A 25,123-nucleotide genomic window follows, 5' to 3' on the forward strand; every position below is an offset into this window, starting at 1 on the left:
AGAGAAAACTTTGCAATGAGGAACACTGTGATCCAGCCTAGGGTGTGGAAAGGAAAAACTCTGAAACTTTCTTTTTATCATTGAAATCTTCCTTCTTCTCTTTTTTTTTTTTTTTTTTTCAGGTAGTGAGAGTTAATTTTCAGTCACTGTACTCAGAAAGTTAATGCCAGACAACATTAACCAGCAGTCCTAACTGAAATAGATTGTATATCTTAAGGGTTTGGAGTTAGATTTTGACTAGTCTTATAATAATCCAGACAAACCATCAGCAATAATACCAGACTGTTAGATATGTGCCTGTATTGATGATATAGAAAACAATCTTTGATTACAAGATCTCTAAGTGATTTGCAATCAATAATTGAGACTCAGAACATGCCCTTCTCTCTATCCTACCCTGAGCTACCACCAGTGGCTCTTAGCTTAAAAGCTGGAAAATTTCAGACTCCAAGAAGTTGGCCCACATTGAGAAAGTGTTCAGACTAGTGCTCCACAGAGAGGGGATGGATATCCAGGTGTCCAAGGATAACCCTGGACCTGGATGGCCTTGGGTCATGTGATGTAGCTTAGTTTCTGCAAACGGACCAGTACTGAAATGGAGTTAATGAGCCTGAAACAGGGCCAGCTGAGCTCAAGTTTTGGAGTGCGCCGAGGCAACATGCCTAAGCAGAGGCCAGAATCCAAACCAATCACTGATACAAGTTTCTAGCAGGAGTCTGCTCACCAGTTAGACTCAAAGCAAGACTAGAGTTTTCTGAGCAATTAGGCTAAGGAGGAGGCAGGCCAGGGTGCTGGGGTGAGGGTGGAGAGTAAGGAGAGTGCAGGCCTGGAGTCTCTCTTGAAGGCCTGATGAGACAGCCTTGTAGCCCTGTCTCTGTTGCTCATGAAGCCTTGGTACTCAGTCAGGAACCCGCATCTGACAGAGCCCTGCTGAGTTTATGAATGTGTCTAACCACAACTTTCTGATCTCCAAGCCACATTCAGTGTGAGAGCTAAATCGAGTATGAAACGTAATAATTTCTCTGAGGCCCCATGCAGATTTGCCTTTCATCTCTGCCTTAGGAAATCTCCTTTCTCCCCAAGAAAATTTAATAAAAATTCCAGTAATTTCTGCACTTCAACCCATTTTTCTTTCTTCCTCTTTCCCTCCTGCCCCTCCCTTCCACTAAGCCCTCAAACATCTCATTCAATCCTTCCTTTTCAGGCACCTCTGAAAGAAAATAAGTTGCCTAAATGGCTTGTGTTACTTATTTTATCTTGTTATGGAGGCCAAAAAAGGAAAAACTCCTTTAGAATATGCAGAAATGCTTCGGTTGACGAAGGTCCAGGAGACTGGGGGGTGGGGATGTGTGTTCTGAGCTGGCTGTTAATCATTCCTGTTTTCATCATTTTCCCTTTTCTTTGGAAGAGAAAGGCCAACACCTGGGAATGAGACTCTGATCTGTGATCGGTGCTGGGCTGAACCTGGGCTTTTGTGGTCTGAAGAGTAAGAACCAAAAGGTTGTCTCTGGGGATACTGGAGAACTGCCCCCAAACACCTCAAGTTCTGCAAACAACTGGCAGATAGGCCCCTTTATTGAGCACCTGGTTACTGCCTCTTCTTTCTTTAGAGCTTGGCTCAGTGTCTCCCATCATCCGCAGACCCAGCTTCCCTGGCATCTGTTATTCTGCTCCTGAAATTTTCCTGCATAGATCACACATGGTAATTCCACATGTATCTGTGGGAGTCTCTGCTTCAGGTCTGTTACCTGCTCCAGACTGGCCACTCTGTGAGAGCAGGGACGGTGTCCAGCCTCCTCACAAGTGTCTCCTTAGTGACGTCTCCTTAGTGGCCTGGCACCTGGAGCAGGGTGGGTATGGAATAAATACTTGCTGACCGTTGGAATGAGAGCTGAGCTCCTGTGCCGCCTGCATACCCTGAAATCAAAGCTCAAAGAGGTGAAGGGACAGACTTGGGCTTTATAGAGCTAGTTTGTGATGAAGAGGGATCTGAATTCAAGTCTGTCTCAGAGCCTATGCTCCTTCTATTCTGCCAGGAAGCTTTGTAGGGTTTCTACAGCTCCTTTCATCTCATGCAAATACGATTGACACAGCTGGGGAAACGAAACTTGTTAGAAGACAAGGTGGAAAAGGGTAGTTTGGCTTTTACTTTCCCAAATGTATGTGTCACTGGGGGTTTAGGACACTGGTGAAACGCCTGGCTCTGGCCTCAATCCCATTTATGATTCCAGCTGTGGGACTTCTGTGCTGCTTGCCCTTAAGCAACTTTGCTAACTGCCAAAAGCCTCTGTTTTCTTGTCTGAGGAATGGTGATAATAATACCTAGCTCTTCATGAGACCACAAGGACTAAATGAGAAGCACAGCACCAGCAGGCACACAGAAGGCATCTGGCAAATGGCAGCCGATGTTACCAACGCTAGGAAGACGGCTCTTCTGAATCAATGCCAAGACAGGGGTGGCAGGAGGGCAAATGAAACAGGACAGGTGAAGCTGCCTCTTCTCCAAAGGATAAACTCTTCTTGGAAAGTATACTTGGAAGACATGTCATATATTGGAAGAGCATGTGAACTGTCCAAGGAGCTTCCAAAGGACATATGATGAAACCTGATTTCCTGGCCAATCCTTTGGGACCCCTGATGGCATGTCAACAACAACCAGAAGTGCCCATGTTTCTCCTTGAAACTGTTATTCATGTCTGAGGGCATTTGTGCTGTCCCTTCTGTCTTCAGAGTCCAGTAATAAGAGGGATGTGAAAATCCCTCTACAAGTCATAAAAACCACTCATTCTCAATAGTTCATGAATAAAAACAACATCCCACACACGTGGAAAAAGAAAACATACCTCCTCTGGCAGCGTGGCTGAGAACACACCATTTCCAAAATACTTGCAAAACAAGATGCAATCGGATCACAAGGCAAAAACAAAACAAAACAAAACAAAACACATGAACAACACAGATGTTTCTTAATAATATATATCCTCCTCCTCTTAGCTTATTCTCTTGCCCCTTCATCCATCCATTCTCCTGCCTCCTGCTCTCTGTCTATATATATACATACATATACATATATATACACACACATACATACACACACACACACACACACACACACACACACATACAGAGAGGGAGAGAGAGAGAAGCTTCGTGTTCTTGCTGATGCTGATGAAAATTCAGCTGCGAGGATTGATTCCTCTTAGCAGATGTTTTGTGTTATCTCAGTACGTTCCTCAAGAAAGTGTCTGTTCGTCATGCCAAGGAAAACAATCCTGTGTAGCAGGACTTTGTTCCTCTGCCTAAAAAAAGAGAAAACAAAGTCCCCAAACAAGCTGACAGCTGCAAATGCTTAGAAATAAACTGGCTACTACTCTGTTTTCCAACTCCCTCCCTCTGCCCCTCCCCAGCCCCTTTGTGCTGTCCTCCAGTCTGTTATCATGGTGGTTGGGCCAAAAGAAAGACAAACAGTGGTATGTGATTATATGTTCTCAAGAGAGTCTTAATTCTTTCAGACATGCCATGTGCTGGGCATAGGAAGTGCTGTTTCAGCCACCCCAAGGAGCAACCATGAGTCCAGCGTGCCTGCTCGTCACACCTCCTCCTACCCCTGAGCGCCACTTCTGAGTTGCTCATCAGCATCCCCAGCTCCCAGATGGCTGCCTTTGTCCCCTGCTTTCACAGCATGGATGTGAAAGGAGCAGTAGATTAAGAAAGACCCAAGATAACCCGTGAAAGATATTCACTGTGGATTGACAATAAAAGCCATTAGAAACAAACCCTAGACCGTGTAAACCTGACCAGTTTGCTGAAAATCAAATGGGACAAATGAGCCAGAGCTGAGAACAGGATGTTAATGAACTTCATTGGTTCTGGAAAGTCAGGCTGAGGTACCAGGAGTTTGATCAGGAATATAGGTCTAGGACTACCACACCTTCTGGTTTTTTTCATGAGCCCCAACCAGAATTTGAAAGCCAGGTTCTTTGTCATGGATGTAATATTGTGAGTATCCTCACAAATAAAACTATTCTTTATTCCCCAGTAGAATCTTTCTTCCATTATGTGGGGACAATTAACACCAAGTCTTGTCTTGAACAGTTGCTGATCTCTAAATTTCTCTTCAGCCCCACTGCCTCCTTCCTAGCTCACCTCCTGCCTAGTTTATGCAGGTCCCTTGTAACTAAGCTTCCTTTCTTTACTCCTGCATTTCTTCAATCTCCACTTGGCAGGTGAAGGACCTTCCCAATACGCAAATCTAACCAGGAAGCCTGTTTTTCTGCATAAAACTCTAAAGCAGCCTCCTACTGCTTCCAAGGTGAAATCAAAGCTATTTAACATGCAGGCAAGACCCTTTATGATTTCACACATGCAGTGGTCCACCATCATTTCTGGATTCTCCCAACTTGCATGTAATACTCCAGCCATCTGAAGCTACGATCCTCTTTCTCACTTGCTTCTGGGCGTTGCTACATACTGGAGGGTTGGTAGCTGGAAACCTCTTCCTCAGCTTCTCCATTTCGCCTGACTAACTCCCATTTGTTATTCAAACCTTAACTAATTTGTCACTTCCTCTAGAACGTCCTCCCTGGCCACCTCACCCTCAGTCTAGGTAGGCATATCATAACACCCGCTGCTTCTTCCATGACAATACTACCACATCAACTTTTAATTGTCCTTTTTTTTTTTTTTTTTTTGTCTCCCAGGAGACTGAAAATTGTGTAATGTCAGGGATCTTTCTTGTTCATAGTCATAGCCCTGGCATCGAATGCATAGCAGAACACGGTGGTTCTCCATATGTAATTATTGAATGCAACGGATTGAATGCTTATGCCCCCCTCAAATGCACGTGTTGAAATCCTAATTCCCAGGCTGATGGTACTAGGAGGTGGGGCCTTTGGGAGGTGATTAGGTCATGAAGGCAGACACCCCATGAATGGGATTAGTGCCTTTAAAAAGGAGGGTCCTGGCTGGGCGCGGTCGCTCAGGCCTGTAATCCCAGCACTTTGGGAGGCTAAGGTGGGCAGATCACCTGAGGTCGGGAATTCAAGACCGGCCTGACCAACATGGAGAAACCCCGTCTGTACTAAAAATACAAAATTAGCCGGGCATGGTGGTGCATGCTTGTAATCCCAGCTACTAGGGAGGCTGAGGCAGGAGAATCACTTGAACTTGGAAGGCAGAGGTTGCGGTGAGCCAATATTGTACCATTGCACTCCAGACTGGGCAACAAGAGTGAAACTCCATCTCAGAAAAAAAAAAAAGAAAAAAAGAGGGTCCTTTTTCTTTCTCCATGTGAAGTTATAGCAAAAACTGCCATCTGTGAAACAGGAAGCAAGGCCTCACCAGACACTGAACCCACCAGACACTGAATCTGTCAGTGCCTTGATCTTGGACTTCCCAGCCTCCTGAACTGTGAGAAATAAACATTTGTTGTTTATAAGCCACTCTGTTTGTGGTATTTTTGTTGTAGCAGCTTGAATGGACTAGGCCAGTGAATAAACAAATAACCATAGAAACCTGAGTTGTGCGGGAGTGGTGAAGAGCTTCCCCTGCTTGGGTTCCCCTTACTTTTCCCAACTCCAAGCACTGGCCCTTGAGTCACAATCTGAAAACCACTGCTTGGTAGAAAGATCTCCATGGAATTGCTATAGGCCCACGTTTAACCAAGTCACGTCTAAGGAGTAACGCTACCGTGAACATTAATACACAGTTATCTCTTCACACCTTGCAGATCTCGGAGAGAAACGCATCTATCAGATTTTTACTGATACCGAGGAAGAAGTATCTCCCTCTTCGAATTGTATTGTACATTTGCATTGATGTGGTTATTTTCATCTAAATAAAGTCAAACAGGTAGTTTTCCAGAGTTATTAAAGTTTGCAATAAGCCAGATTTGGTTGGCAAATCATGCTGAGACACATAATGGGAGGAGGTGGGGGCAAGGGAGAAGATAGCAATGTCATTGATCCTCTTTGTACAGTTGGGGGAACCCAGAAAGAACAATTGGAACCCAACTTGAGCGGGGCTTTGCAGAGCCAAAGGGAACAGTGACCCTTCTGAAATGAACCTGAGATAGGAATAAAACTGTTGGGGGATCTTCTCCAGACAAACAGAATCTGAGGGAAAGACGGTGAGTGGATGCTGAGGACTTTTTCCACCTGACATAGAGGGGTTAAGGCAGCACTGAGCAAGAAATGGTGAGTCATTGCATTTGCATGTAAGATCCCGCGAAGGTAAGTTGAAGGGATAGGGAAGAAACCAGAAATGTGGCTCTAAAATCTTATCTCTGGGTCAAAGTCAAGCTAAATTCATGAACTAATTCAAGTAAATTATTTACTTGAATATGTCTTAAACAAGATATCACATATTCACATGCCTTCAGGGATTACAAAGGAACATGAATGAGTAAAGTAGGCTGGGTGTAATATGATCGGGAGTGGCGTGGACTGTGCCAGCCTGGAGAGTGTATTATGCAGGAAAGGAAAAAAGCCTCTCAGCCTTAGCTGATTGTTGGCCAGCAGGAATATAGATCTAGGACTGCCAGACCTTCTGTTTTTTTTCAAGATAATCCAGAAATCTAGATTCTTACATGAAACCTCCCCGTGGTTAAATTTTAGTTAATTCAAGGACACTAAAAAATTTTCAAACGTTTTATTTATTAACATTATTTAGTCTTATATAGCTCACTCAGCCTGGAAGTTGACTCTATAAGCTGACAGCTTAATTTTAAAAATTCAAATTTAAAAATTAAAAAAGAAGGAAAGAAAAACACTCTCGTAGCACTGAGCACATGAAACACATGGATCTTGGTTTCCAACATCATTTTTTAAATAAAGGAATCAGGGCCCCTTGGAGAAAATGGCTGATTCTAGGACTGAGGCAGGAAATATAAAAGATGGCCTGGGACACCTTAGTGTCAGAAAGAAAGGAAGTGCTAATAAAAACACAATGACAGGGGCGTAGGAGCCAACCTGAAAGAGCTCCGGAATGGCCCAAACTGGAACAATCTGAGCAAAAAAATAGATGGAGTAGTTTTGCATTATAACCTAAAGTAGAAAATAAATATCTGTGAGTTCACACTGATATAAATAAATGGTTGGATAGTAAATAGGGAAAAGAAAAATCTCCTGTGTAGTGAGATTCCAAATATGTAAATACTCCCTGTTCAAGGAGATGAATGAAGCTCTTGAGCGTGGGCTATGCTTGGTGAGTTGCTTCCAAAGAGTACAGTATAGGTGGCTTTATAGTCAAGAAACCTGGCAAACATGACCTTGACCAAGTGATCAAGGTTAACATCAACAGTGATCAATCGTGTTCATAGAATATGGCTTTGATACGATAAGTCGCTTCACTTCTGTGGTCTCCCTCCCCATAACCCATAAGCCCTATCTAACCATAAAAAAAATCAGACAAACCAACACTGAAGAATGTTCTACAAAACATCTGACTGGTAGTCCTCAAAACTGTCAAGTTCATCAAAACAAGGAAAGTCTGAAGAGCCTAAGGAGATGTGCTGACTAAATGTAATGTGGTATCCTGGATGGAATCCAGGAACAGAAAAAGGGCATTAGGGAAAAACTGAATACTGTGTAGAGTTTAATAACAGTAGTGTTCATGTGTTAGTTCCTCAGCTGTGACAAATGTTTTGTGAGATGTTAGCGATACTGGAAACTGGGTGAGGGATATATGGGAACTCTGTACTATCTTTACAACTTTTTAATAAACCAACTATTCTAAAGAAAATGTTTATATTAAGAGTTTATTTATATTTAAAAAACACTCTGTGGGTCAAAAATATTTGATTGGCTCCAGAGGCCATGAGTTTGTACGTTTTGATTTACGCACTAACATTTCTGTCTTTACTGTTATGCTCTGATCAGGACTGGCTACATAATTTGCAGAGCCCCTTGTTTAGAAATTATTAAGCACTTCAAGATGGCAACAGCAGAGTCTTAAACCAAGCATGGGGCCATTCTGAGTGCAGGTTTCATGACTGTGAAGCTGGCCCTGTCTCTGACATGTGATATGATCTGAACAGAGCTGTGGAGTCAGGAGTCATCCTTGCCAGATACAACTCCCACTATACACCCTTTGTTTGTTCATTAACTAATTTAATAGCTAACAATAGCAAATATTTATTTGTTTGCAGATGTGCTAGATACTAGGGATTCAGCAATAAGCGAAAGAGTTAAATTGAATAAGGTCATGTTATACCTAAGTTTCCAGCACTGGAAGTTGACCTAAGGACCTCCCCCAGGTACAGACACCCACAAGGCTCATCCCCTCACCCTCTCTATTTTCCCACTTTCTTCCATCTCAACTGCAATACTACCTACCTACAATGAAAATTCTATAGAAAAAGGATTTCTTAAGTTCCAAAATAAAATACATAAAAGTTTTTTGTGACTATTATATAATATTTGCAATTTAAAGTCTCAATTACATTGGCTCCGAAGAGAAACTTTTATTTCCTGGGCATCCAATGGCACCAGCCATGTAAATATCCTTATCCCAAAAAAAACCAACAAACTCTGCAGTTGTTTTCCCTATTTTGTGGATGAAAAAATACTGTTAAATTGAATTTGGCCAAAAGCCGCCTCCTCTACTTTAAGTCTGGTCTAAAGGTTTGTCAGTACCTAATGAACCCAACTTGATGAGTAAACAGGCTATATCCTACTCTTGCAGCAAGTAGCCTAGTCTTAGCCAATCACAGTAGCTGAACCACAGACAGACATCTGTTTAAACCTGGTTCAAATAAGGCAAATGCCCAGCTGTAACCGATCCAGCTGTTTCTATACGTCACTTCCGTTTTCTGTACTTTGCTTTTTCTGTTGATAAATGTTATCCAACCAAACAGCAGCCCTGGAGTCCCTTTGAACCTGTTCTGGTTCTCAGGGCTGCCCAATTCATGAATAATTCTTTGCTTGAATAAACTCCATTAATCTGTCTGAAGTATTTTTTTTTTTTTTTTAAATAATGAGAAACTAAGAGAGGCTGCATCACTTGCTTAAGTGATACAGGTGGTGAAGCTGGATTTAAACCTAGATCCCACTCACTTTGAAACAGCCACTTCCCAAATAATATACCCTCTACCCCTCAAAAACCAAGGCAATTCCTTTAAAATTATTAACTTAATCATCCAGAAAGTACCCTCAATGGTTAGTCATGGAGTTTAAAAAGTCCTCAACTGAAATAAATTACTGTTAGACTAGTAGCCAATTTTAAGGTCCTTATGAAACACAACTTTTGAGGAGAACTGGTCTTTTGGAATTTGGTCTTGGTGAGGCAGGAGTGGGAAGAGGAGGGAGAGGACAGAGGTGACTAAAGCAATGGTCTCTCTAGAACTTGACATTCACAAGCAGAGATGAGAAACTGGTGCCTGCAGGCCAAAGTCAGCCCACAGGACTGTCTTCTTTGGACTACATATTTTTAAAATGCTACCAATATTTAGAAACTGGAAACTATAACACAAAGACGAATTCTTGCTTCTCTTGGAATAACTCAGAAGACCTGGCACAACTGGACTGAGATTCCCACATGGCAGCAGCTCAGTAATGTCTGCTCCCCATACATGGAAGATGCTGTACTCATCTGAGGAGCCCCATTCATTCCATTTATTTATATTGCCAGCTGGACCCTTGAGAGGAAAAGTTACCTGTGATTGCAAATTTGATTACAGCAGATGGTGGGCACTTCTGGCTAGGTGGCCTTCCTTGGGACAGGTGTTGGCCATTTTAGGGAGCAGGGGCTCTGTCCACCATGGGGCCACCCCAGAGTGGGGTCCACTGGCCTGCCACCTGCTCCTTTACATTGGGCCATCCATCCCAGCTGTTATTCAAGCTCTGGCCAAACCACTTTTGTTTTGTAAGGCCAGGTGAGGCTTGGTTGCATAGAAGATGTCTTTTGGCCATACTGGAAAATCATTACCCTAGTAACACTGTCTTTGAGTACCTCATACTTGCAGCTTCTTTGTTCTCCCAGCCCCAGCAAGCACTGGAGTGGGGTAGTCACTCTTTTTGGTTCTCCGTTTAACATAAATGTGCAGAAGGCACCATTTACTTGTTTTCTGAACGGAATCCCAGGGAGCATGAACAGACAGACTTCTGGGGATGATGAAGGCACATGGGCTTCATGTTTTGCAATACAAGAGTTTTCTCCATATGTTCTTTCTTTATTAACATTCATAGGTGGTCCTTGAGTTACATATGCTTAACTTTCTTACCTCCTGCATATTTGCACACTACATGGACATTGCTAAATTCCCTTTACTAGGGTGCATTTGATCTATGATACATTAATTATAGTGGATGCTTTGGTGATGTCACACAGAAGCACTGTGGAGGAGTGTGTACTCGCTAGAGGAGAGGACAAAAGCCCCACACTCACCCCATGCATCCTGAGGAGCCTCTAGCAACCCCTGCTGCCTAACCCCATTAGAAGAACCACCTTGCAGAGCAAAAGCCCTTTTGCCCAGCACAATCTCCCTAGGTTCCTATGATGATTCTCACATTTCCAGGTCCCAAAGGCATTAGCACCCATTGGGACCTTAATTAACAATTGTAAGATGCTTTCTAATTCTCTGAAAAAACTTCTAATCTACAAATGCATGCTTTGTATTTCAGGCAGACATTGTAGAATGTATTTACAAGAATAGGTGACTGCCTACACAAATTCTTTTGGTCTAATCATAAAAGTAATATTGTTTAAAAATTAGAAAATGTTATCATTATCACCCATAATCCCATCAAGAAATAATCACTGGTAATATTTTGTTGTGTTATCTTCCAGTCTTTTTTCTGTGTGTGTATGTATATAGTTTTGTTAAAAGTACAATTAGAGTCATACTAAATATTCAGTTTGTATCCTCCTTTTTGTACTTGACATAAGTATTAGATATTCTTTGAACAATGAATCACCATATAACCATCACACAGACTCAGCAATTATCAAGACAAAGTAATACTTAGATGCCTCTTCTTGTACATATCTTTGACAGTTGGTCCTGACAATTTTCCTTGGCTAAATTCTTAGGAGTGGACTAAATCCCATTTACATTACATTTTACATTAAGAGTTCATGAACACTTTGCATTATACTCCACAATAGATGTTTGTTTCATAGAAAATATTGAAATGAAATGAATGAGCACTATTTGTCTTGCAGTGTTGGTACCCGTTGCACACACTGAGTTTCCCAGAAGTATGCATGCTGCCGTTAGAAAAAAATGGACACAGGACTCAAGAACCAAAGCTATAAAAAGGAATTAGTAGTCTTCCTTTGAGTATAGCAGTGGTTCTCAACCCTGGCTGTGCATTAGAATTATCCAGGGAACATAAAAAAATAGAATGGCAGTGTCTCACACTAGAACAATTGAATCTGAAGTTCCTCAGATGATTCTAATGTACAGCCCTGGTTGAGAAATACTGGCCTACAGAAGTGATTCTTTAAGTGTGGTCTCCGGACCAGCAGCACCAGCAATATCTGGGAGCTTGCTAGAAATGCAAATTCCCAGGCCTCAACCTAGCAGCACTGAATCTAACACTTGGGGACAAGGGTCCAGCAATCTGTGCTTTAAGATGTCCTCCAGAAATCTTGATCCATGACAAATTTTAAGAACCACAGGCCTAGAATATTCCTGGCTCAAGGATCTAGCTTGCTTAACCAAGTGGGAAGTCTGGCTGAAGATTTACAGAATCTGGTGTCTGACTTGAACTCAAGTCTCTCGTCTCCCATTTATTAGCTACACGATCTTGGGCAAATGACTTAGCCTCTCTGAGGCTGTTTCACTGTGAAGGACATAAGGATCTTAATAGCATCTACCTTGTTGGGCTGTTGTGAGGATTAAAGGGAAAATAATGAATGGTATTTTCCAAAAGGTAGAACTTGATAAAATTTGCTATTTTCATTAGCCATCAGAGAACTATTACTGTGGTCAGGAGATCAGGAAGGAAGCCTCCGAGGTGGAGGGAGACAACTGATCTGTCAGTCTGAACACCCAAAACAGATGTTTGTTTCCTAACTCTTTTCCAGGCCTAGGCTTGGATTTAGATTACACCTGCTGTGACACAAATACATGAATCTCCCAGGATGAGACGATGAGTCATTCTCTCAGGAGCTGTCTTCACACTACGGAAGTGCTGAAAATACACGGCTAGAGAGCCGGGCTTGGTCATCTGGACCTCAAAACTGCCAGGGGTGGGAGGAAGGGGAGAAGGGAGGGGACCACCCTTCTAACACCTAGACCAGTGTTCTCAAACGGGAGCCCTGAGAAGCACCTGGAGTGCTCACTGAACACAGACTGCTGAGCTGCACCCCCAGAGTTTCAGTGAGTCTGGGGAGGGGTCTGAGAACTTGTGCTTCAAACAAGTTCCCAGGTGAGGTTTATACAAATCTGACCACACTTTTTATGCTAAATTGAAAACACTGGCAAAGTTCATGAAACTGCAAGGCAACTGAACTGTGACCTATAAAAAGTTTTAAAAACTAGCGAAATGTTCTCTAAGACTTTCACATTTCCTCTGTAAAATTCAAATTCCGTTTGACATTCTATTTAGGTTTGCCCCAGAGTAACACTGGCCAACTTTACAGAAGTGTGGATAGTGACGTTCATTTGAACCCTAGGTCCCCCACAGGGGGTTGAAGGGCAGGGTGATGGGCAAGCCCAGCCTGTCTTGCTCTGCTCTCACAGGTAGTGGGGTAAGAAATCATTCACTGTCACCTCTCCTTCCCCCAAGAAGCCAACACACATCAATCACTTAGACTAAGAGTTTGTATACACCACATCATTTAATTCTTCCTGCAATCTATGAGGTATGGGCTACTTATGTCTCAATTTTTACAGATGAAGGAACTGAAACTAAGAGAGGTTAAACTTTCTGAAGACACATAGCTAGTAATAAGGATCTTCAGGTCAGAAATCAGATCTCAAAACCTTTGCATTTCTCTTTCTGACCTACACAATGAGTAGAAGAGTCTTTGCTTCTAGACTGAAAAGACTGTGTGTGACTGAGAATGAATCTCAGCTGGGGAGGGAATGAGGTCATAAGGATGGATGCTGCATCTGGACATGGGTAAAAAGGGACACATATTGCTGCTCACCTACTCTCCAGCAGGCTCTGATGTCAGCTCTGGACAAAGTGAACAGGAGGCAAAGCTGGCCCTGATCCCATCTAGTTCCCTCAATGATGTGGCCAGAATGATTACATTCACCACTACTCCTGGCGCAAGGGCAAAAGCCAGGGTTTAGTCCCAGAACTATTGGAACCAGGGGGCAGCTTGGCCAAAGGACCGTGAAGGTGAGGGCCGGGGATCTGGTGTGCCAGTCTGTGTTCTTCTTCCCCCTGTATCTCACTCTATGGCTTTCTGGTCCATTCTCCCAGCCCTTGCCAGCCCTGATGACTCCCTGACCCAGAACCACACCTGGGGAATCCTGTGCATCTTTGAGTATTGCATGTGCATGGGCAGAGCTGGGCATGTGACCAAAGTGATAAAGGAAATGAAGGTCTTATCACACAGGGAGGCTAGGAGAAGACTGGAAGGATAGGGCTCAAATATTTGAAAGAAGGTCATTTGGAAGAGGAAAGGGAAAAGAAAATTGCAAACCACTTATCCAGGGCCACAAAGCTAACAAGTGCTAGAGTGGAATTCTAGCCCACGTCTTCTGAGCTCAAAGCTCAAAGCTTGCTCTCTTTCCACTGCTCTGTTCTGCCTCCTCAGGGTCAGAAGGAACCCCTTCCTTTAGGTCAGCATGAAGACAAATTTACATTGCCTAAGGTGTCCAAAATGGGATGCATTGTCTCAGGTGATAGTGAGCTCCCCAGGCTGGAGGTGTTCAAGAAGAAGCCCGGAGACCACTTGCAAGGGTTGTTGGAGCGGGGATTCAGGCAAGGGAAGATGGTTTTCATCTCTGGTTGCATGTTACCATCTCCTGCATTGCTTCTCAGCAGAGTGGATTCCCAGACCCCCTTGTGATTTACTGGCTCTTGGGTGCATCTCAGGAATAGGTGACTTTTAAAGCACCCTTGGGGATTCTAACGCACCTTTAGGAATTACTGGGGTTTCCTTCAACTCTGAAATTCTATGACTTGAGTTTTTGGCATAAGAGACAGCTAGCTGTGGGGTGACAGTGCTGGTGACAACAATATTCGATAATTACTGAGGGTTTACTCTGAACCAGGACCAGTCATTACCTCACTGAGTCCTCACCACAACCACAGGAGGCAGGTACTACCATCATCCCCTGTTCACAGATGAGGAAACGACAGAGGAAGATGAAGTTTCCTGCCCAAGGTCACACCCCAAAGTGTTGGAGGAGCCGGGCTGTGAGGGCTGCAGATCTTTTCTCCTTACCATAGGAGCAGAAGGCACCAAGTGAGACCTGGTCCAAAGCCATTCAGTCCAAGGCAGGTTCTGAACAAAAGCCCCCAGTGGTTAATCTCCCAAATAAAAACTACACAGTCCAGGAAGCACCAGGAGAGTGAAACAGACCCTCAGATCTTGAAAAGATTATAAGCACTGAAAGAGTTGCAAAGCTCTCAAGGCATAAAGTCTAACTATTTCTTTGGTCTAAATATATCATATTTGGTTTTTCAAAATGTAAACTTTTCAATATAGTACAAAGTGTACCTAGGTAAATCTTACTGCTATTCGCTCACCTAAAAATAAAACAAAACTTGTTCGTTAAAAGTGCTTCCATTCAGTTATAGAATATTCAAACAAAGTGTCATTAAGTATATTGACACAACGGTTAAAACATTAACCCCAGTGAAACTCCTGATGTGCCAGTTCAGCAGAACCCACCCACGCCTTTCTGGGAAAAGCTGGATCAACCCCTGTATCTTGCAAGTTGTGTCTAAATCCTCACCCACCACGAGGTCTATGGGCCCCCACTAGCAGTGCAACTTTAGTGCATACCCATTCTCCACCAAATATGTTTTATTTTCCCTCTTGGGACCAATCACAAAGTTCTGGGGAGGGGCCAAGTGCAGAAAAAGAGATAGGATTTTTTTTTTTTTTTTTTTTTTAGACAGAATCTCACTCTGTCGCCAGGCTGGAGTGCAGTGGCATGATCTTGGCTCACTGCAACCTCCGCCTCAGCCTCCCGAGTAGCTGGGACTACAGACGCCCGCCATGACACCCAGCTAATTTTTGTATTTTTAGTAGAGACAGGTTTTCACCATGTTGGCCAGGATGGTCTCGATCTCTTGACCTCGTGATCCACCCGCCTCGGCCTCCCAAAGTGCTGGGATCACAGGTGTGAGCCACCACGCCCCGCCAAGAGATAGGAATTCCATACTATAAGGGCTGAAGCCACTGGGCATTTTCCAGGTTGAATAAATGCCTTATTCAACTAACTCTCATTAACGATGACTCTGGGCCAAATGGTGGGAGGAGTGGAGGTGGTCCAGCTTCTGGCCCCTCCCCACCCCCACCCTTGTAAATCACCCTTGTTCTTGCTGTAGTCCAGGGCTCTTAAGCTATTCAAGCTATTTCAGGATCCATCCCCCACCTGCCCACCACCCCCTCATAGTTCCTAACCCCTCATAAGAGATTAGTTAAAACTTATAAAAGGGAATTGAGACAGCCTAAATGGCATCAACCATTCAAAGAAGATGTCTGGGGCTTTCCACACTGCCTAAGGAAGTTCAATTTAACCTGGGGGTGGGATGAGGCAGAGCCAACTCCACCTTTTCAGATCTAGAAATCATCTGGGGAACATCAGTTCACTACCTCTCACTGGGCTCATGATCTGGGTGAGCTTTGGAGGAACTTGTTTAACCTCTCTAGGTTTCAGGCTCCTGAGCTGACAAGACATGCAGCTGAGATCAGTATGCCTCAAACTCTACTGCAGGCATGGAGGTGCTGCTGAATGGTGGAAGGAGCAAGGAATCCTGTTTTCCTCTTATCTATCCATAGTGGGTGTTTAAGTTCTCGGTAGAATTACACTTGACAAAATTAAAGTTTGAAAAATCCTGGCCTAGGTAATTTCTAAGGTGCCTTCTGGACCTAACATTCTATGGCTCTGACACTCTATTTCCCACAAAAATAAATGGCTGTTGCCTCTCGGTGTTGCCTCCCCAGTCCCTGCTGATCTGAGGACTGCTAAAGACTTAACACATCTTCCCTGAGGCTGGAGTCCTGGGGCTACAAGTCTGTCTCTGCCAAAAGACTGAGAAGCTGCCTACATTTTCTGTGCTTCTTGGGACCCTGAGAACCCTGAGTGGCCCTGGAATTCTGCTAAGTGCCTATGGAAACCAAGCCAGATGTGGATAGCAGAGAACTGGGTGTAACGGCAACACCAGTCATCGCACTCTAGGCTGGGCCCTTTGTGGCACTGCCTGATTTTGTGATGGAATTAAAGATGTTTTCCTTACAGGTAGCCCTAGAACTTTTTTTTCGTTTAAGAGACAGGGTCTCACTCTGTTGTCCAGGCTGGTGTGCAGAGGCGCCATCGTAGCTCATTGTATCCTCAACCTCCTGGGCTTAAGCAATCCTCCTGCCTCAGCCTCTTGAGTAGCTAGAACTATAAGAACGCACCACCACATCCAGCTAAATTTTTATTTTATGTAGAGATGACGTCTCGCTATGTTGCCTAGGCTGGTATCAAACTACGGGGTTCAAGCAATCCTCCAGCCTTGGCATCTCAAAGCGTTAGGATTACAAGTGTGAGCTAAGTCTGGAAAAAGTAACATTAAATTGATGAGGGGTGGACATTAACCTGATACGAGTGGGCATTCTCTAGCTTCGGGCCTTGGAGTCAGAAAGCCTTGGGTTCATAATTCTGACATCCCCTCAGTCTGCTCTGTGTCTTTGAGCACATTATTTCGTCTAAGTGTCAGCTTTTCCATAGTTCAAATGAGCGATGAAATGACATTTGTATGTGTTGACAGCTTGGCATAGTGTCGGGCACTGTAAATGTTATTGTTATTATTGCCACCACTTTGTACTAGGTCAATTCCTCGACAGCTTTAATATGTGATGAGTACTGAAAAAAGCAAAAAAGTTAAGGGGCTCAAAGACACCCAGCTGTGTGGAACAACCACTGCTTCAGATATCAGATCGATTCTCTTTCTACACAGCCTTCTCTGCCTAAAGCCCCAGGTTCCCCTTAACACACTGAGTAGGATCAACTGTTCCTAGTTATTCCTGGTGCCCTGACTCACTCTTTCATCCAGAAGCTAGAAAGATGTGTGCTGTTTAGAAGATCAGGGCCAATCCTTCTCCAACCCCCTTCACCCCCATGGCTGAGGGTGGAAAAATGCACCTAATCAATCCGGGCATGTTGTGAGTTCCTTCACCATGATTCAGACAAACAGGTCCGTGGCTCCTACCTAGGCTGAGAAAAGACCAGACCAAGAATTCAGTGGACCTTGCCCTCCCAAGGCATAATAAAAACCCGATAAATGTGAACTTGCAGTAAGATATGCCTCTCTGGTGTGAAATGAGAGGTGAAGGTGATATATATATATATATATATCCATCCAGGGGCCACTTGCTATGTTATTCACTGCAGAACTGGTGCTTTTTGCAGTTCCCTGAGGGGTATGAAACTGCCAGTGCTTCCCTCTCCCCTACCCAATCCAATTAAATCCCCACTTCAAAGCCCCACAATAATCTCATGAACTTCCAGGACTTAGTGCTATGCGGTCTTTATGTGTTAAAGATATGAATGATGAAACAAATAAAACTAACAAGCAAGAAGGTATTTGGGGGAGAGGAGAATAAATTGATTAGTAAGATCATAAGAGAGAGTTTAGCAGGGAAAAGAATGTGGGGGGAGAAGAAAATGTCCATCAATAGACACTTATTGTGTGGCAGCCACTGTTTAGACCTGAAGGTGAGGGGGTTAAGAGCGTGGATCTAGGACTCCCAGCCTACCCATGTTCACACCCTGCTTGCACATGATCACTTGGACAAATTATGCAACCTCTCTGTGCCTTGGAGGTAATAACAGAACCTCACCCACAGGGCTGTCATGGCGATGTCAAAAATTCATATATATGGGAGCCCTTACAACAGAGCCTGGTGCATAAAAAGTGGTACAGAAGAATTTGCTATTATTAATAAAGTTTCTCATTTAATCTCTCCCTCTCATTTCTGCCTTTATGAAGTGGCAGGGTTCAGGTTTTATAGTTGGAGAAACTGAAGCACAAATAACTTATGTGGGTAGGAAGTTGAAGTTTGGGAGTTCAAACTCAGGCTCAAATGATTCTAGACAAATAACAGAGATTCATGAAGGTTACATGAGAGAGGGCCAGATAACCTGTTGAAGGAATTGACAGAATGGACTTGGGGTGGCTCCTGGGTCAAGTCAAGAAGGACAAGCTGCTTTTTTATATGTGGATATGGGTGTAGAGGGATAACTAGTCCTAGAAGCAGATTGTTTTCCCTTTAAATCAGGACAGAGCTGCTCTGTGAACCCAGTAGGCTGGTGCCTTTAAAGAGTGTCTGGGAGAGATCTATGTAAATACATTTCCTGTTCAGGTGCTAGCACACTGCATTGTTCATTTATTATTTATACTGCGCTCTACCCAAAACATAGTGGGTACTTATTAAATGGTTGCAATTACCTTACCTATGTTGGCATGAGATTAAATTTATTGTATTGTCTAGCATTTCCCCAAAGTTTGCTCTGGATATAGCAAGATGTTCCTTAAAAAAATAAAGTGAATCATAGTTAAATAAAATGCCATTTACTCAAGCCCCTTCCAGGAAATTTCCTGGTATAGATAAGCATTATAAAGGCTCTGAGAAATTCTACAGTAAAGAAACCTGCTTATTTTCAATGTGGTGTTTCCCAAACCTACTTAGCCACAGAATCCTTTTCTATATAATAGAAACTTTGGGGAATATTGAAGTTACCCAACTAAACTTTGACAGCCCTGCAAGGGAGGAATTATTATTCCCACTTTCCAGGGAAGCTCATCTAGTAGGTCATGGAGCCACGGTTAGACACCCACATCTCTGCCTCTGGAACAAGGACTGGGCCTAAGTTCATACACTTTTTTTTTAAACTATAAACTTAAGGAAACAAACTACTATCATTTTTCATGAATGGTTTAAGTGCACACCTGTCTAAAGCTGAGAAACAGACCAGAAGCTGACCTCTGATGGCATTTGGTATTGGTTCCAGAGATGGGACTGAGGAGATCCTGTTATTTCAGAGCTCAGTAATTCAAACAATCTCAATCCATTCATCTTGGCAACTAGCTGGCACACCCCTCACTGGACTAATGAAAAAAATCTGGCCATTTGACAGCAAAATCATTCTTATTAAAACAATTGTTCCAGAATTCATTCTTCCACAGAACTCATTCTTCCAGAACAATTCTTCCAGAACAATTCCAGCAGAACTCATTCTTCCACAGAAAACAGTGGAGGTGAACGTGCTTTAGGACTGGAAGGCAGCAATGCTCTTTCCCCAATGGCTCCCTCCAGTATTTCCCTGGCATGGCTGGGTGTCAGACGGAAGCATCTCTGTCCCCCACACCTGCCAAATGCCTCTCTGCACAGTAGCCCAGCTGTTCTGCCAGTGAGTAGCATCAGGAACTGAGACGGGTCCTTCTGGCCCATGGCACCACCTGTGCCTTGGGGGAGAACCTTGGGTGAGGGTGAGACGCTGAGCCTGGTCCTTGCCCAGCAGCCCCAGCCTCCAGTCCCTCTGCCAGGAACTTGGGTCATGTCTCTCACAATACGTAGGTTGGCCAGGCAGTCCCTGTCAAGAGGAAGCAGGATGAACATTTGGGGACAACTAAGGGATGGAGATAGGCACCTTATCCTAGAAAGTAGCATCAAGTCAAAGCTGTTTAATTATCGTTGCATGGCCCTGCTACAGGGCAGGAAGCAGGAAGGCAAGGGGATGAGGAGGGGGGCAAAAGGAGGGTCTTTAGAAGTCATTTGCCTGAACATGTTTTCTTGCGGAATTTCCTCTGTAGGGTTTAACATACTCCTCTGAATTCTTATATTCACGTAACTTTTTTTTATAGCAAAGTAGGACACACAAAACAACAGTGATTCTTTTTTGCCAAGGCATATCAACCTGATCAACAATTTATTGAGCACTTCCAAGTGTCAGGCCCTGTACGAGGTAACCATGAGACAGAGTGACAAATAAGATAAACGGAGGAGGTAGGTCAGGACTGACTGGTGGTTTTGAAACTGTATTCTGGAGGTTTTACAAAGGTGCCTAAGGGGCCTTGGTGAGGTGTCAGGGTGGTGAGGGGTTGAGAGGGTGGGGTCCTCTCCTGCATACCTGCCCTCTCTCTCACTCTGTCTCTCCCCACCAACTTAAACAGCTCTGTTCTCTGTGTTTTCTTGCAGGGAGAGCTGTTGGGAGACTTAATTTATTAATGTCTATAAAGCCTTCAGGAATTTTTGAAGGTACTTTCTGCAGGGCAGGTCCAGGAACGGGACTCTTATTAATCATGCAAAGAGAGATGCCAATATTGATTGCCCTAATGGATTCTGGCAGAGAAAACACACTTGAAGTTAATTGTTTACTGAGAGCTTTCAAGCAGTGCAAGCACTGGCCAGACCTGGCACTTGCTCAAGCACCTACTTGCTCCTTTTGACAGTTTGCTGTGGCAGCTGCTAGGACAAGCCCTGGAGCACCTTGAGGTTTGGATGCTTCTCATGCAAACTCAATGAAGGGTGCCTCCAGGCCTTGTGAAGAGAGGGAATGAAGAAGATTCGCTGACACTTTGCCCTCAGACATGTCTAGGGAGATCTGCAACCTGCTGAGCACTGGACACCTGGGTTGCTGTGCAGACATGTGCAAGAAGCACATGGACAAGCCATCCTGCTGCTGCTTTTCCTTGGGCTTATGATAGTCATAGGCAGGAGGCAGCTCATAGAAGACACTGGGTGCCCAAGAATGAGTCCAAGTTTCGAGTCTGCCTCCCTTGCTGCCTCATTTGTGACTTTGGGCAGCCGACTTCTCTTTTTAAGCCTGTATTTTCTCATGTGTAAATCAGGGGACAGTGACTGTTCCTATATCATGGGATTGAGGGGTTTAATTATTCATGGAAAATGATAAGCACATGGTAAGTGTCCATTTCAGTATTATCATTATTATTGACACATGGGAGAGGAACGATTCAACAAAGCCAAAGGAAATGTTCAGTAACAGCAACAACCCATTTGACAGTCTTGGTCTGGGAGTAATGCTTGTCAAAATGAAAACTAAAGCAGATTAAAGGACCTGCTTTGTTGATGCAAATTTTCGATCTTCTCAGGAACAGCACGAATAATTTTTTTCTTCACATGCTAGAATGCATAAATCTAAAACTTCTCTCCTTAGAGAGATTCACCAGATGGAAGCGCTTTTCAAAGGAATTTCAAAATCTATATATGTAGCACAAACAGGGTCATGTGGAACACTGTACCAGTTGTCATCACATTCTTGATGGCCCTTAAGGCTCAGTCTGCCTGAGTTCCACTGATATTTTATGAGCTACAGGAATTGCATTCAGAGCACATCTTGAAGGAAAATGTCATGAACTTATCTTTCCAGGGGCCAAGGCAGCAATCAAAGTATCAGCTCACAACTCTTGTGTTATATCCCTCATTCAAGCACATTCCTCTCTGCAATCTACTTGCTCCTGGAGGAGTTTCTGGAAGAAGTGTGAGCTCTCATCCCTCCTAAGGCATGTGAACGCAGCACACCTGTAATTTCACAGCTGCCTGCAGTTGCCACAGTAATGCAAATGTTTGTGTTGGCTTCTCCGTGAACTCTGGAAATAGCAGCAAAATGTGGCAGAGTTGCTTCTGCGTACCAAAATAAAAGTTACAAGCTTGTGAAAATGAATCACTGTGACTTAATGAAATCTGTGGCCTAAATGTGTGCTTGCTGAGAAAACTGAAGTTGGATGCCTCCTTTAAACAGAATGAAAGGGGAGACATGAATGAATAAATGAATAATCATTCATTTAAAATATTTATCATGGGTAGGAATCATGATTTCTAAAATTCTGTGGGGATTTTCTACTGAAGGGACTTGGTAAATTTACAAGTGTAATTAAGGATTAAAGGTGATGAGTCTTAACAGGCAGACCATTTTATACACACCTGCCCCATATTCTCTCATCAGATGCCTATCCCTCTTTTGGAAATAGTAAAGAGCCTGGATCTGAACCCAGCTTTGCTGTTTCCCTGTGTAAGCTTGGGTAGGTCACTGCACTTCAGTTTCCTCATCTGTAAAATGAGAATCATAATAATAGTGCCAAAGTCACTGTGCTGCTATAAGGAATTCAATAAGCTAATATGTTAAAAATATTTAGACTATGTATGGCAAATTCCTATATAAATGTTAGCTGCTGCAACTACTATTATTATCATTATCATAATTACCATCAGATTCTCCTGGTACATTCTTCCTCCTCCAGGATACCCTAAAGTTCCCTGCATCACCAACACTGATGGGAATATTTTAAGGCCAGAGATATCCTCTTTAGAAAATGGTTAGAGTTATAGCATCTCCTTGACCACTGACCTGGATTAACGTTTCGGATGGATTGAAAGTCACCTTGAAAGACAGAAAGTACAGGCTCTGAGAGGCTAGGATGGAAAACAAGGACAGTACATTAAATGGAGAAGAGAGTTTGTCTCGCAGCAAGGGGTACCACAAGGGGTTAACATGTCAGAGTCCTCTTACAGCCATGTTTCTCAACTAGAAATGATTTTGCCCCCCACAGGCAACATTTGGCAATGGCTGAAGGCATTTTTGCTTGTCATAATTGGGAGTCAGCTACCACTGGCACCTGGCAAGCAGAAGCCAGGGATACTGCTAAACATTTAACAATGCACAGGACAGCCTCCCATAGCAAAGAATTATCCAGCTCAAACATCAATAGTACCAAAGTTTAAAAACCCAGTGTTAGGATAAACCTTGGAAAAACCTTGTTTCCAAAGGAGCTTCCACTTTAGGTTGCACATACCGTTAACTTCCAGGTACCCAAGAGCTAATCTAGTTTCCAAAGGTGACTGATTTGCGTCTAAAATGATTTATGTAGGAGGCTACTCTGGTGATGCAGCAATGATTTATTACTAAGCACTCTCAGCTCCCAGAGACAGAGGCTGAGGAGCTGGCTTGGTCCCCAAGCACCCATACAGCTTTCATATTAGCACTGACCAGGGGGTTATTACCTTTATTTTTAGTTCACTCATTGAAATGTCTATATATACTAGGCTCAGAGTATCTTTTTTTTTCTCTTTTATTTCAATAGGCTTTGGGGGAACAGGTGGTGTTTGGTTACATGAATAAATTCTTCAGCAGTGATTTCTGAGATTTTGGTGCACCTATCACTCAAGCAGTGTACACTGTACCCAAGGTGTGGTCTTTTATACCTCGCCACCCCCAACCATTCCCCCAAGTCCCCAAAGTCCAATGTATCATTCTTATTAGGCTCTGAGTCTTCGGAGATGATTCTTCAAATTTAACCTGTCTAACACATGTTGAATATATTCTTTTCCTTTCCCTTCTAAGCATGTTCCTGCCTTCAATCTCCCCCATCTCAGTACGTGCCTTGGCCATCTCCCTTTCTCAAGCCAGAAACCCAGTCAACATCCTCCGTGTCTTCTTCCCTACCCATTCCATAATCCACAGGCAGATCCTATCGATGCCACTCCTAAATTCATCTTGAAAGTTTCCTCTTCCCTCTACTGCCACTGCCCTCGCCTGACCACTGTAAACAACTTTCTGAATAGCCTCCCCATTTTTAGTCTTGACAATTTCTAATGAATTCTCCACACAATGGTCTGAGTAATCATTTTAAAAATAATAATTAAAGCTATCACTCTTGACCTCCTTTGATGGTATCCCACTAATGCTTCCAATAAAATCCAAGCCCTTTGCCGTGGACTGAAAAAGGCTTATATCAGGAGTACTCATAGAGTGGTCCCCAGACCTGCAGCATCACTTGGAACTTGTTAGAAATGCAAATTTTCAGGCTCCACCCCAAACTTACTGGATCAGAAACTCTGGGAGTGGGGCAGCAATCTGTGTTTTCACAAGCTCTCTGGGGAGTTGGGATACATGCTTGAGGCTGAGAACCACTGCTTTATGTGCTCTGCCTCCTGCCTATCTCCCTGCGACCCCACCGTTTCATTCCACTCCTCTTTCTGATTACGCTGCAGCCAAATGGGCTTCTTTCCAATTACTTGAACATGCCGAGAGCTTCTCTACTTCAGGTCCTGGCATGCGCTGTTCTCACTGCTCGGACACTTTTCCCATCTCTCTTGAGATGCCTCCTCTGACCACCTTTTCTAATGTAGCTTTCTGACCCACCCTCGATTCTTTGTGGCTATAATCATGGTTTTCTTCACAGCACTCCCCATCACTAGTTGTATTCTGTCTTTATTTTCTAGCTTCCTTATGATTATCCGGTTCTTTCACTAGTCCATTAGCTCCCTGAGGCCAGGGCTCTGTCTGTTTTATTCATTAATGTATATGCTATGGAAACCACAGTGCTTGGTACATAGTAGTAAATAAATTAAAGGCCTGAATGAATTAGCACTTTTAAGTCACTTTTAGTCTAGTGCAGAAAGAGAAAATATGTGGCATACAGCTCCCATTTCCAGCCTGGACCGAGACCGAGGAGACATCACCACTTGATCTCCAGTCTTTCCCTCTTAATCCTGGATATGGCCTCTGAATTTTTCACAACCCTCCACTCTAAGCATCTGCTAAAAAAATAATTAAAAATAAAAATAAAATAAAAGTTGTTACTTGGAATGAAAGTAGAAGTACACCAATTTCCTAAATCACCAATTTCCTAAATCATATTTCAATAGTTGCATATATATATATAAAATATATATGTGTGTATATATATATTTGAGACGGAGTCTCGCTATGTTACCCAGGCTGGAGTGCAGTGGTGTGATCTTGGCTCACAGCAACCTCCGCCTACCTCCGCCTCCCAAGTTCAAGCGTTTCTCTTGCCTCAGCCTCCTGAGTAGCTGAGATCACAGGTGTATGCCACCACGCCTGGCTAATTATATATATTTTTGAGACTGAGTCTCACTCTGTGGCCCAGGCTGGAGTGCAGTGGGCGATCTCCGCTCACTGCCTCCTCTGGGGTTACAGGCACCCGCCACAACTGTGGCTAATTTTTGTATTTTTAGTAGA

The 25,123-nt window shown here is 43.5% G+C and overlaps 1 protein-coding gene across 6 annotated transcripts in view, besides 3 other annotated features; it reads right to left on the reverse strand.

Annotated features, from left to right (window-relative positions):
- MOB3B (MOB kinase activator 3B) overlaps positions 1 to 25,123 on the reverse strand; it is a 204,606-nt gene that overhangs the window by 40,056 nt on the left and 139,427 nt on the right. The gene's annotated exons all lie outside the window — the stretch shown is intronic.
- Positions 2,180 to 2,299: an enhancer, noted in NCBI's record as "active region_28253". NCBI's record gives its function as "activates an Ori minimal core promoter by ATAC-STARR-seq in GM12878 lymphoblastoid cells {active_cell/tissue: GM12878}" and the evidence as "EXISTENCE:reporter gene assay evidence [ECO:0000049][PMID:35858748]".
- Positions 3,817 to 4,570: an enhancer, noted in NCBI's record as "OCT4-NANOG-H3K27ac hESC enhancer chr9:27369079-27369832 (GRCh37/hg19 assembly coordinates)". NCBI's record gives its function as "activates a minimal SCP1, AML or CMV promoter by ChIP-STARR-seq in primed H9 embryonic stem cells {active_cell/tissue: H9 hESC(primed)}" and the evidence as "EXISTENCE:reporter gene assay evidence [ECO:0000049][PMID:30033119]".
- Positions 4,571 to 5,325: an enhancer, noted in NCBI's record as "OCT4-NANOG-H3K27ac hESC enhancer chr9:27369833-27370587 (GRCh37/hg19 assembly coordinates)". NCBI's record gives its function as "activates a minimal SCP1, AML or CMV promoter by ChIP-STARR-seq in primed H9 embryonic stem cells {active_cell/tissue: H9 hESC(primed)}" and the evidence as "EXISTENCE:reporter gene assay evidence [ECO:0000049][PMID:30033119]".

This window comes from Homo sapiens, chromosome 9 (genome assembly GCF_000001405.40).
Source record: "Homo sapiens chromosome 9, GRCh38.p14 Primary Assembly".
In the NCBI taxonomy this organism is placed as follows: Eukaryota; Metazoa; Chordata; class Mammalia; order Primates; family Hominidae; genus Homo; species Homo sapiens.